Genomic DNA, 13,762 nt, shown 5'->3' on the forward strand with positions numbered 1-13,762 from the left:
ACAAGTAAAATGTGTATAGTCTTGTAATGCATGCATAATGAAGAGTATTTAATAAGTATATGGAATGCAAAATTTCATTCCAATATTTTTATTTCTGCACAGAAGTGTACACACTGAATTGGCATATAACATTGTACTCTATGGGAATAAACTTGAATTTCTTACATTTTTGGAACATTAACCGTTACTGGTAATAATTTTTTTGCCATTCACATAGCTGGTCACTGCATACCTGCTGTTAAAAATCACAGCATTGAGAGATCCTTAATTTACCACTTATATAGTCTAAAACAGAGAGAAAAAAGTTGTGGCAATAAAGGTCCAAGAACTAATCCTATCACCAATTTCTTTATCTTTCGCAAAAATACTTAAGGACATTGATTTATGATCCTAGCTCTTTATCTTACTCCATTCTGTGTTCTCCAAGTGAGATTTCAAAACCAGTTCCAAGAACACTATCAAACAAAGAAAAATATGCACAGACAGAAAAAAAGCCTATTTTCTGAAATGTATCCCAGGGGAAAACACCAACAACTGGAAAAGAAATATTTTCAAGATATAACATTAAATGTAGATTTTTCCATTTAAGAGTTATCTTTATAACACTTAATCAGAAATTTTTTCAATGAAGCAAAAGCTTTATGCTTCCCCCACAAATATACCTGATCTCCAACTTTCTTTTTTTTTATTTTTTTGAGGCAGTCTCACTCTGTCACCCAGGCTGGAGTGCAGTGGCGTGATCTCAGCTAACTGCAGCCTCCGCCTCCTGCATTCAACCGATTCTCCTGCCTCAGCCTCCTGAGTAGCTGGGACTACAGGTGCGCACCACCACACCTGGCTAAATTTTGTATTTTTAGTAGAGATGGGGTTTCACTATGTTGGCCAGGATGGTCTTCATCTCCTGATCTCATGATCTGCCTGCCTCAGCCTCCCAAAGTGCTAGGATTACAGGCGTGAGCCACCGTGCCCGGCCTGATCCCCAACTTTCATATTCCAAAGGCATTAACATCTGCAATTTAGAAATAACTGCAATGTTTAATGCTTCTAAGATGTGCCAATTTAAAATATGCTATTGGACAACTATAGAGGACTAAGTTAATGACCCCAATCAACAGCGTCTCTGCATCCTTGCCCTCTACTCCGTAACCTTGCAATCCCTTTCCCCTGGCTCTGGTCTCAACTGTGTTGTTTTGGCCAACTGGATGTTAGCAAATGGGATGACACAGAAGCTCAGAATGTATGGACCCATTTCTGCTCCCCTGAAAAAGACAGGATCTGTGCTACTGCCATAAGAATATGCCTAGGCCTGTTGGAAGGGTGTTGGGAGACTTGGGTAGGATGGCTGAATCTTCTTGGTCAGGCCATTTTTGACCACCCTAAGCCAGCCAACCATCAAACACATGAAAGAACACTGCAAAGATCAGCAGATCTGTCTACTACCCCTGCAGCTGACTGTAGCCACATGAGTGAGCTCAGCAGAGACTATGAGAAGAACCACTCAGCCATCCCAAAAATACTAATGGCTATTGTTTAAGCCACTGAATTTTGGGGTGCTTCATTATGCAGCATTAATTGTGGCAATACACAATTGATACACTAGTTATAGCCACAACAACCAAATGAGATTGTAGAAGAGCTGTGGGATGAAACCTAAACTGATCCAAGAAAGGTATAATGCTATGTGAGGATCCTGCGGGGGGAATCTATTTTTTATTTTTTTCTTTGAGGTTTATGTTCTCCCTAGGTTACACAGGGCTGTCTTGATTAATACAGGCTGCATCTTTAGTCTCTACTGCTAACTGTTCATTCACAGCACATCAGCATTTATACTTTGCATATTAGAATATGCTGTGACAAAGCAAATTTTAGGTATTTATCATAAGGACAAATAAGCAGTATTATTTCTATTAGAAAAAAATCAAAAACAAGTTAAATGTCCATCATTAGGAAACTGATTAAATAAAGGATCACATCCTACAATGGAATACTATGCATCACTTAAAAGTGAGGCTGCTTCTATATTTAATTGCACAGAAAGATATTTACTAAATAACACTAAATGAAAAAAACTAACTGTAAAACAGTATGATGAGTATATAGGTATTGCCTACACAATGCTTTCAATTTTTCTGTTTGAAACTTCTCATAATAAAAGTTGGGAGAAAGGCAGTATGTATAGTGTCATTCTTTCATAAAAATATTTTAAAATCTTTTTATGGTAAAATAAAACACAGATGAAGAAAACCACACAAAACAAATAGCTTACTACAAAGAAAACACCCATAACTACCATCTTAATCAAAACACAGCTTTTGCTTGTTACCCTAGAAGGCCCTCCATGCCCTTCCCTTCCTCCAAAGTAAACAAACTCTTGAATTTATGGTAATCAGTTCCTGGCATTTCTTTATGATTCTGTTACCCGAGTGTATAATCCTAGTCACCATTAGTGCTGTCTATTTTTAAAATTTTGATGTCTTTTAAGTTATTTAATCTACATCGCCTCTATCCTTTTCTTTTCCTTACAACTTATTTGTTGAAAGAGTCTGGGCTGTCTGAGTTATGGAGTTTCCACAGTATGAATTTTGGTGGTGCATGTTTAACTCGTTTCTCCAACCTCTGAATTGCCTGCAAATTGGAGCTAGATTCAGAGGCTTGAACAGATTGAAATTCAGTCTGTGGTGGTATGATCTTTCATCAGGAAGCACATGGTATCTGGTTTTCATTCATTTCTAATGTTAGCAGCCATTGTTATTCAATGCCTAAATCCACTAAATCCACAGGGGTTGGAAAACAGTGACATTCCAATTATTTAATTTCATTTTCATCTACTGGGTGGAAAAATTTTAGGAGATGCTTTCCTTCATCTACCACTTGGTTTTCCAGTGGTACAGTTCATGTAAGAAAGAAGCTGATTCTTTCCTAACTACTTTCAAGATGATGAAATGGTGCTCCATTAACCTTTTCTTCATACTGCAGAACCAATATTTTTTTTAATATCATAATCTCATGGATTTAAACATATTTGCAATTTTATTTTTGGCCAGTAGGAGCCTCTTCAAGTTGGCTCCTAAGTCATTCTGACATGCCCTAATAATCTTTGATAGCTTCCTTGTTACCTATTTATTATCTTGAGATGTCCCAAGCTCATCTTACATCTTTCCAGTTATTTTTGTTGTTTGAAGCTCACTCTGTAGAAGGTTCCTTAGGAGGAGCTCATGAGGAGCAATATTTCCTCCACTGATTTTTTTGCATGTTCATAAGTTTGTGTTCTTTATGTCTGAAGGTCAATTTTGCTAGATATAAAAATACTGGCTCACATTTTGTTTCCTTTGAATACCTTAGGTATGACTTTTCTTTCAGCGTAAGAGTTTCCGTCAAAAAGTCTAAGAACAATCTAATTCTCTATTACTGTTTTTCCCTTTTTTGTCTAGATGCCCAAAGGACTTTTTCTTTTTCTTTCTTCTTTTTAACCCAATAGTTTTATTAGAATATCTTGGTATGGGTTGTTCTAAGGTGATATTCTAAAATACATGATTTTTTCTTTCAAAAAGTAGTTTCAATTTTTTTCCAGAAAACTTGTCTTAAAATGTATCATTTGCACCACCTCTTTGCTTTATTTTTCTCCTCTCCTATTACCTGTATGTTGGATCTGCTTTGTCTATCTTCATTATTTGTCAACTTTTCCCAAATTTTACTTCTTTCTTCATTTCCTTTGGATTTTTAACTTTTTCCTCCTTTTCACCTTCTATTTCTCTTAGGTCAGTATTTGTAGTATTTAGTTGATTTTGTGCTCCTTCCAATTTTGAATTTATTTCTAAGATGATTTTTTTTAATTTCTAATTCTTTCTTGAGTTCTGTCTCCTTGTCTCTGAGTTTTGCTAATTCAGACTTACGCTGCTCTTTCATCTCCTGTATAATTTTGTAATAATCTCTTTTAATTATTTTGAAATAGAATATTATGATTTTAATCATTTTTTTGTTTTGTTTTGTTTTTTTGAGATGGAGTCTCGCTCTGTTGCCCAGGCTGGAGTGCAGTGGCGTGATCTCGGCTCACTGCAAGCTCCGCCTCCCATGTTCACGCCATTCTCCTGACTCAGCCTACCAAGTAGCTGGGACTACAGGCACCCACCACCAAGCCCAGCTAATTTTTGTATTTTTAGTAGAGACGGGGTTTCACCGCGTTAGCCAGGATAGCCTCAATCTCCTGACCTCGTGATCCACCCGCCTCAGCCTCCCAAAGTGCTGGGATTACAGGTGTGAGCCACCGTGCCTGGCAGTCTTAATCATTTCTAATTGAGCGTGTCTTCTGGTATGTTTTCATTGTCAGTAGGGATTTTACTCTATTTCTTTCTTAAAAAGTTTGTATGGGATCTAACTTTGTTAATGTTCTGTACTTTTATAAAATGTCTTATTTATATAATTTCTATAATTTATTTAATGTCTTTCTCTCGCTCCCTGTATGAGGACAGAGACTATGTCCGTTTCATTCATTAGCATATTCCTAGTGCCTGGCACATAGCAGATGTTCAAGAAATCACTGCTAAAGGAATGAATAGAAGAGTTCATCAAAATGTTCATAGTGGTAATCTCCGGGTGACAGGATTTAGAAAATGGCCTTCTGATGTTTTATAAGTTGCTATTTTTCTAAGTTTTTTTTAATAATGAGCATGAAACATTTTTATATTCAGAGACAAAGATTTTTAATTTTTAAAAAAAGGTTTGTATATGAAGCTGGGTATATAGATACCATATATCTTTAAAAAAACAATAAAGAAGTGCCCTCTCCCTCACATACGTCTTCTATTCGTAAATGAAAACTCTGGGGTAAAAGAAGGTGACAAAGCTGAGTTTTACTAAGAAAGACTAGGTTTAGAGTTTGTGAAAAGGATGACAGCAACCACCCATCTGCTTTCCATGCTATATTTGACAGATTTTACTCTATAGCTCAGAAAACATGTTAATAGGACTTCTTGTAGTGAGAGGAAGGAATTTAAAAAGCAAAGAATCCTGTTGTGATAGTTTGGCACTATATGGAAAATGGCTCACAGAGCCTGCAATTCATGGAACAAAGATAACATCTCTTCGTAAAATCTACACTGCAAGGTATCTCAAATATACAACCAAGAGATGCCAGTGGCAGTGACTTAAAATCACCAAACAAAATGATCCCAAACAAGAATGAGATGAAGCCTTAATATGCTTAACTGGGCCTTCAAAGACCTATTAGAGAAAACATAAGAGATGAACTGCCTCATAAAGCAGATGGTCTTCTCCAGTTTAAAAAAAAAAATCAAGATAATTAAAGGAAACTAAGGAGCAAGGATCTTGCTAAATGGGCCAAGGAAGATTTTTTTCCTCTGAAGAAGAATGCATGATTTTTTTTAAAGGATCTCACGGTTCCCCATGAGGCTGACACAGGTCATTTGGTAAGGTCTACATCAGCAAGGGAAGCCGTCCCAAGGGCAGCTGCCTCCCAGGCAGCATGCAACACCCTGGCAGGCTCTATTCACAGGGGTGGGAAGGAAGGCTGAGGGGTAACACGGCCTTTCTGAAAGAGCACTGGAGTGGGGAGTCAGGACACATGGGATTTGTGTTCTTGATCTGTGATTCTGATGAACCTGGTTCAATTTTGTCACCTGTTAATTTTTCTTAGAAAAACTCATCATTCATTCCCCTAGCCTGCCTTGGTAGTGAGAACAGTTGAGATAAAGAGGAAAATCTCTGTATAGCACAGAACAGAATTGCAAAATTGTTGGTTTATAATGTAATTTTGTTTAAGTAGCTCCATTGCTAGATATAAAGGTCCTACTGTGCAGCAAATTAAAAACTGGAGTAAGGGGAATGAGGTATTTTGAACTCAGTAGAAGATGAAAAAATTTCTGTTCTACTCCAACTGTAAGGTACTCGATACTCCATTTCTGTTCTCCTATAAGGTCTAAGGTGCTTTTTGAGAGAAAAGAGAGGCAGATAAAAGTATCTCAAAGGAAACTCAAAGATTCTATGCCAGAGATTGTTAACTGAAACAGGGACAGGAGGTACAAGTCTTTTATTGTTATAGTCAGGATTTATACAGAAAGGGTACTGCCCCCAAATATTGCCACTTGTGGCTTGCCTATGGGGCCTAACCAAAGCCCACAGGGATAGGGCTCCAGGTAATATTAAGTATCTAACATTTGTTGAGGGCTTCCTTTGGGCTAAATACAAAGAGTGTTCATGATCCCTTTCATTTCTCACATAAATCCTAGAATGCTGGCACCATGATGCTCCTTGTTTCACACAGAAGGACACCAAGCTGTAGCAAGGTTAACAAACTTGCATAACATTGGGACGTTGAAAAGCAGCAGAGCCCAGGCTCCAATCCTGGTCTAACGATCCCAGAATCCTTAGTTTAACATTCTACTCCACTGTCTCTTCCAGGAAGTAGAAAGTGGGATGAAGCTGGTAACATGGCGACTCCAAAGACCTCATTTGCTGAGTTTATCTATCTCTGATCTGATGGTTCCAAGAGAAGGTTAAGTATCATAACCAAGGAACCAACTCATGGTTTCTCTTCAACCACATCTCAGCAGCAACACAGAGCTTACCTTTGGACCTGCCTCCTAATTATCCCTGGATCTCTCCTCTTTTCCCCACATTCTCTAAATCTCTTTTAAGTTTTTGTGATATGTCTAACATCACTTCCTCAATCCTTCTGCACAAAAACCAAATCCACTCTTAGTTTAGAAAATTATAGTGAAATCCCATTTCAACATATTATACATATGAGCCAATCCAGATTTCACCAAACAGTGGCCTAGAAGACATTTGGCAGTTTTCTTAATGATAACACCAGTTGAGCATCCCAAATCCAAAAATCTGAAATCCAAAAGGCTCCAATGAGCATTTCCTTTGAGAATCATGTCAGTGCTCCAAAAGTTTAAATTTTGGAGCATTTCAGATTTTGGAGTTTTGGGTTTGGGATGTTCAACTGCTAAGTATAATGCAAACACTGCAAAATCCAAAAACAAAAATATGAAATCCAAAATACTTCTGGTCGCAAACATCTTGTATAAGAGACACTCACCCCGTAACTGCTAATATATCAATCACACTATTTACCAGGCATTATGTGTTAAGACTTCATATATATTAACCACTTCAATCCTTATAACCACTCCATGGAGAGAAAACTATTATTATCCTCATTTTATAGATGTCATAACAGGCAGCAAGATAGTAAATAACTGCCACATATGTAGCAGGTGGTGAAGCTATTTTGTTTTAAACCTCTCTGAACCTCAGTTCTCTCCTCTCAAAAAATAAAAATATTCTCCCTCTCCCTATCCCTCCCCCTCCCCCTCCCTCTCCCTCCCGTCTCCCCTACGGTCTCCCTCTCCCTCTCCTTCCACGGTCTCCCTCTGATGCCGAGCGGAAGCTGGACTGTACTGCTGCCAACTCGGCTCACTGCAACCTCCCTGCCTGATTCTCCTGCCTCAGCCTGCAGAGTGCCTGCGATTGCAGGCGCGCGCTGCCACGCCGGACTAGTTTTCGTATTTTTTTGGTGGAGACAGGGTTTCGCTGTGTTGGCCGGGCTGGTCTCCAGCTCCTAACCGTGAGTGATCTACCAGCCTCGGTGCCGGGATTGCAGACGGAGTCTCGTTCACTCAGTGCTCAATGTTACCCAGGCTGGAGTGCAGTGGCGTGATCTCGGCTAGCTACAACATCCACCTCCCAGCAGCCTGCCTTGGCCTCCCAAAGTGCCGAGATTGCAGCCTCTGCCCGGCCGCCACCCCGTCTGGGAAGTGAGGAGCGTCTCTGCCTGGCCGCCCATCGTCTGAGATGTGAGGAGCCCCTCTGCCCGGCCGCCCATCGTCTGAGATGTGGGGAGCGCCTCTGCCCCGCCGCCCCGTCTGGGATGTGAGGAGCGCCTCTGCCCAGCCGCGACCCCGTCTGGGAGGTGAGGAGCGTCTCTGCCCGGCCGCCCCGTCGGAGAAGTGAGGAGCCCCTCTGCCCGGCAGCCGCCCCGTCGGAGAAGTGAGGAGCGTCTCCGACCGGCAGCCGCCCCGTCCGGGAGGTGGGGGGTCAGCCCCCGCCCAGCCAGCCCTCCCCTCCGGGAAGGAGATGGGGGACAGCCCCGCCCGGCCAGCCAACCCCTCCGCGAGGGAGGTGGGGGGCAGCCCCCGCCCGGCCAGCCGCCCCGTCCGGGAGGGAGGTGGGGGCCAGCCCCCGCCCGGCCAGCCGCCCCGTCCGGGAGGGAGGTGGGGGGCGCCTCTGCCCAACCGCCCCTTCTGGTAAGTGAGGAGCCCCTCTGCCCGGCCACCACCCCGTCTGGGAGGTGTACCCAACAGCTCATTGAGAACGGGCCATGATGACGATGGCGGTTTTGTCTAATAGAAAAGGGGGAAATGTGGGGAAAAGATACAGAAATCAGATTGTTGCTGTGTCTGTGTAGAGAGAAGTAGACATGGGAGACTCCATTTTGTTCTGTACTAAGAAAAATTCTTCTGCCTTGGGATGCCTTACCCCCAACCCGGTGCTCTCTGAAACATGTGCTATGTCCACTCAGGGTTAAATGGATTAAGGGTGGTGCAAGATGTGCTTTGTTAAACAGATGCTTGAAGGCAGCATGCTCGTTAAGAGTCATCACCACTCCCTAATCTCAAGTACCCAGGGACACAAACACTGCGGAAGGCCACAGGGTCCTCTGCCTAGGAAAACCAGAGACCTGTGTTCACTTGTTTATCTGCTGACCTTCCCTCCACTATTGTCCTATGACCCTGCCAAATCCCCCTCTGCGAGAAACACCCAAGAATGATCAATAAAAAAAAATAAAAATAAAAATAAAAATATTTACCTCACATGGTTACTATGTAGAAATGGAATAAACATACAAAAAGCAATTTAATATAGCACTTAGATTCTCCCTCCCTCCTAGTATTTCTGGGATCATTCCAAGGTACAATACAGAAACTTTTAATTAGACAGGAACAAGGAGATAAGAGAGATGCTTAGAATTCCTTCACATATGCTGCCTCATTTGTGTGTCACAACACCCTTTGGGAAAGAAGTAAATATCACCATCCCCATTTTACAGATGAGAGATTAGGGAACTGGCACACGCATGGACATTCTGCTGGTGACTGAAGTAGGATTCAAATTCACACATGCATATTGTTTTTCCAGAGGGTTTTAAGGGGTTGGAGGACAGGGGTAGCCAAGACTTCTAGTTCCCTTCATCTTTCCTATGTAGCCATTCCTACAAATTCCACACGTCACCTGCAAGTTGCCAATGTTACCTTTCCCTGGAAAATCAAGCCTGAAAACCATAGTCGAAGATAAAAATAGGTACAGTCACAGTTACTAACCATGCACAATTAGCAACTCTTCTAATAAGAAATAAGGAAGAGGGAGGGAGAAGGAATGGAAGGAGAAGAGGAAGGAAAGAGAAAGGGAGAAATGGTCATGAAACAGAAGTCCAAATTGTCAAGCTCTACGTTCTCTCATCCACGTCAGGATTTTTTTCCACAAAGGTATCAGCTACTTATCCTGGAACAACCTGCTGTTCCTTCTCAGCCCTTCAGCTGGGACCTGCATTTAGAAGCCTCCAAGAAGACATACCTGGCCAGGGTCACATTTCTCAGAAAGGCGGCAGCAGGAAGAGTTGAGCCCGGAGGCCACCACCAGGAACAGGGTGTTTCCCTCGACACAGGATGCAAGTTCACAAAGAAACACCAAGGACCTCCTCTATCTCCAGCTACAGTCTCCTGCTTTCCTCAACAGAACTTAAGGGCAGGAAGGAAAGCGGAAGTCAGGAATCAGGGCCAGGGAAGCTAAAACAAAGGCGGGTCTCTAAAATGCAGACACACACCCATCCCCTCCTCCTGAGCTCACACCCACAGATTCTTAAGCTGGGAAGGGGACAAGCCACCATAGAATTCTAAGTGCCTCAGCCACAAACTGCCTCAAAACACTGGAGACCTTCTGTGGGCCCAAGGCCATGCTAAAACAACATGTGAGCTTGGCAGACTCCAAAAACTCACAGAAATCTGTTAGGACACACTTACATGGATCTCTTTTCTAGACAGTTTTCCCCAGAGTCCCAGGTTAAGAACCACTGCACTAGTTGGTCACAAAGTAGGAAAACAGGGCTCTGTAAAAATAAATCATCACTCTCCCACCAAATCTTCTCTCAACTTCCCTAACTGGGTTAGGTGGACATTCAAGCAATATCCCAGACATTTCTGACTCCATCCCTTCCTTGCCCCATGACCAGTCAGAAACCTGGCACTAATCCATCCTCTGAAGCTAGTAACATGTGAATTCTCATCCTTTCATTTCCACGGTCGCCTCTAGGCCAGGCTCTTATTAACCGTCCCGAAGGCCTACAGTCGATATTCTCATTACCTGTCTGCCCTCATGCCAATCCAACTGTACTCTCCCGCAGAGCTGCCTTCCTAAGAGCATCTACCACCTTTATCACCACCACATATACACGCTCCAAGCTATCAACAGCCAGGACCCTGGAGCTGGGCCACCCCGGTTTGAATTCCATCTCCACTGCTTCCTTTGAGTGTCTCTTTAGGTAAGTCAGCTAACCTCCGTTTCCTCCACTGTAAAATGGAGATAATGAGAATATCTATACCAAATGTCTGTTGTGGGAATTAAATAGGAGAGTGTGTGTAAAGCACTCAGAATGGTGATGGCACACAGTAATTGCTGTGTAAGTGTTAACTGTCACCAACATGAATATTCTTAAAGCTTTTCACTGGTTACCAAATAAAATCTCACTTGGGCCAGGCATGGTAGGTCATGCCTGTAATCCCAGCACGTTTAGAGGCTGAGGAAGGAGGATCACTGGAGGACAGGAGTTGGAGATCAGCCTGGGCAACATAGCAAGACCTTGTCTGTACAAAAATACATACATACATACATACATACATACATACATACCAAAACAAAATCTCACTTCACTGATAGGCTCTTATGACCCTCTATATTCTGTCCCAAATGGGTCAAACTAACCCCAACTTGTCCCTAATCTGCATGGACATAAGCCGTTCTTCTCCTACCTGATCCCAAGCAGGGCACCACACCAGTGCCTCACTCTATACTGAAGTTACTGAACATCTCCCACTCACAAGCCTCTTCCATTTGTTCTGCCTGGGATGCCGTGTCATATCAGTGTCTGTCAAACCCTCACAGCTCTCGTAGACAAGATCAAGCACTGATCCCACATAAGATACTGCCATCGTGAATTCCAGCAACAGCACTGAGGATGTTAACACACCTAACAGTTTCTGTGGTCCTGTTCCTACCTGCCCAAGGGCTAATTGGCTGGTCTACCTTAAAGCAGTAACCCTTCCTCTCGGTAAAATGAGGTAGTTGAAACAAGTGACTTAAAAAGCCTTCTTGTCAAGGTTCTTGGGGTTATACAGTGTTTCTCGTTCCTTTGGGACAATTTTTCTTTCTTTCTTTCTTCTTTTTTTTTTTTTTGAGACAGTCTCACTCTGTCACCCAGCTGGAGTGCAGTGGCGTGATCTCGGCTTGCAACCTCTGCCTCCTGGGTTCAAGCGATTCTTCTGCCTCAGCCTCCTGAGTAGCTGGGATTACAGGCACCAGCCACTGCACTGGGCCAATTTTTTATATTTTTGGTAGTGACGGGGTTTCACCATGTTGGCCAGGCTGGTCTCAAACTCCTGACCTCAACTGATCCACCCGCCTTGGCCTTCCAAAGTGCTGGGATTACAGGCGTAGGCCACCGTGCCCAGCTGGAAAAATTTTTCATTAAAGAAGAGGATACATAGGGTAACTGCACATATTTTTATTTTTTAAATGAATAACTGAAAGCATTCCAGGTCTCAAGTTTCCAAGGCTAGGGAAAAAAGTGAAATTTTACTATATGATGTGCAAAATTCTTTTCTCTTTACAATTTGATGACCCTATGACTTCTAGTTTTTTTCCCAATAAACTAGAGACGACAATTTTCATTTCATACCTTATATTATCTCCATGATACATATTGCAAAGCCATTTCTACCTTCCATGTGGAAAGTAATCCTGAGTGTTATACCCAAATCCAAGGCAGTTAAAAAAAAAAAAAGTTAAATTATTTCTCCCTACCCCTCAATTTAGCAATAGAAAATTCCAGGATAACTTTTTTCTATAAATGAACAGAACCAGCCCCCAAATTTCTTAAAAGCAGCAGCTTGGAACTCAGCCACAAGAAGTTTGAAAAGTGGCAAAAAATTTAATAATACCATTACCCTGAAATCCAATAAAGCCTGTTGGAGCTTAACATTTTCAAGAAATCAGACTATTTATGCTATTACCCCAGTACTGCTATAGTTTCCTATAAAGCCATAAATACACACAATATAGTTCACCAGAAAACTAAGAGTATCATAAAAAAGGCCATAAGGAAGATACTGCCCATGAAGTATATCTCCACGGTACTTGCTACAGCAAGTTCACACAGAGGAGTTCATTTATTTTGAAAATTACATTTCCAAGTCCACAACTCCACAACTCATCACTTTGAACTGTGAACAACTTTTAATATAAGTTAGAGCTTTCTTTTCAAAGACTGTTTTCACACAAGATAAAGGTCATACTGAATATCAAGGACATGTATAAGGCTGTCACAATAATGAGGAAAAGGCTCATAACATCTGCGTCTTCATATCTGCTTAATTTAACAGTCCATTCAGCTTTAAGTAACAGAAAACCTACCTAACAGTGGATTCAACAAAAAGAAAGGAGTTGGAAGGCCCAGGGCTGCAGGTGTTGGCTTGAAAACAACCTCAGGGCAGGTATCTCTGAGGCTCTTGGACTTTCCTTCATGCTTGTCACCTCATGGTGACATGAAGGCTGCTGTACATCCAGGCATCTTATCAGCATTCAAGGCAGAAAGAATGGGAAAGCAAGGGAGGGTACTGACAAGCTCAGTTGTCAGGCTTTATAGAGACAATAAATGCTTTCCCAGCAACCTCACTCCCATCCCAGTGGACTTATTCTCAGGTCTCACTGGCCAGAAGTAGGTCACAGGGCCACACTTGCTACAAGGAATGCTGGAAAATCAGGGTTCAGGACTGGTATATTGGCTTAATCATCACAATTTACTGTCGAGGCTGATCTCCACACCACCCTGAATTAAACTATAGCCCTATGAGCAACAATGGAACAGGATATGGGCAGTGAGTGGGCAATTAATTGTGTCTCCATTTTGAGTCTCCATCTTGGGAAGGAGAAAATCATCCAATGAAGGGTTTTCTGCTGCCAATATCAAAAGCATCCACTACCTATAAAGTAACTGTTTTAAAAATTCCCATACCTATAACAACAAACAAATAAAAATTGCTTAATCTTTTAAGTTCATATACCTTGGTTCTTCTCTCTATATAAAGTATAAATGGGCAGTCAATGGCTAAAAGGTGGGTGTGAAGTCTTGTTGCTGTGAACTCTGATCACAACTTGACCACTGAGAAGCTTTGAGGTGCAGCTCGCTATTCCCCAGGCAGAAAAGCCATGGAAACCTTTAAGCTACCATACGGGGGAGAAGCCTCCTAAATGTGCTGTCTGCATGCTGCTCTCGCCACCTCCCTGCCCCTCCCGATCAAACAGGCACATCCATTTAGCACCCTAGATGCCCTGCACCTACTGAACCTTCAGTGGCTCCCCACTACTCTTAGGAAACAGCTGAAACTCCTTACCAAGGCCCTCCACTCTGATTTGACCAGGCCGCCTTCTCCAACCTCATCTCCCACCAGGTCCCACCACACTTGCT

The 13,762-nt window shown here is 42.2% G+C and overlaps 1 protein-coding gene across 51 annotated transcripts in view; it reads right to left on the minus strand.

Annotated features, from left to right (window-relative positions):
* The window catches only part of APBB2 (amyloid beta precursor protein binding family B member 2), a 404,516-nt gene that overhangs the window by 231,289 nt on the left and 159,465 nt on the right, over positions 1-13,762 (minus strand). For 3 of the 51 annotated variants that reach the window (XM_047450188.1, XM_047450176.1, XM_047450165.1), the window contains exon 1: positions 9,598-9,737. The exons of the other annotated variants lie outside the window; for them this stretch is intronic. The gene's annotated coding sequence lies outside the window, so the exon portion shown is untranslated. Of the gene's footprint in view, positions 1-9,597; positions 9,738-13,762 lie in introns of those variants that run through there. 51 annotated transcript variants of the gene reach the window in all.

Source organism: Homo sapiens, chromosome 4, assembly GCF_000001405.40.
Source record: "Homo sapiens chromosome 4, GRCh38.p14 Primary Assembly".
Classification (NCBI taxonomy): Eukaryota; Metazoa; Chordata; class Mammalia; order Primates; family Hominidae; genus Homo; species Homo sapiens.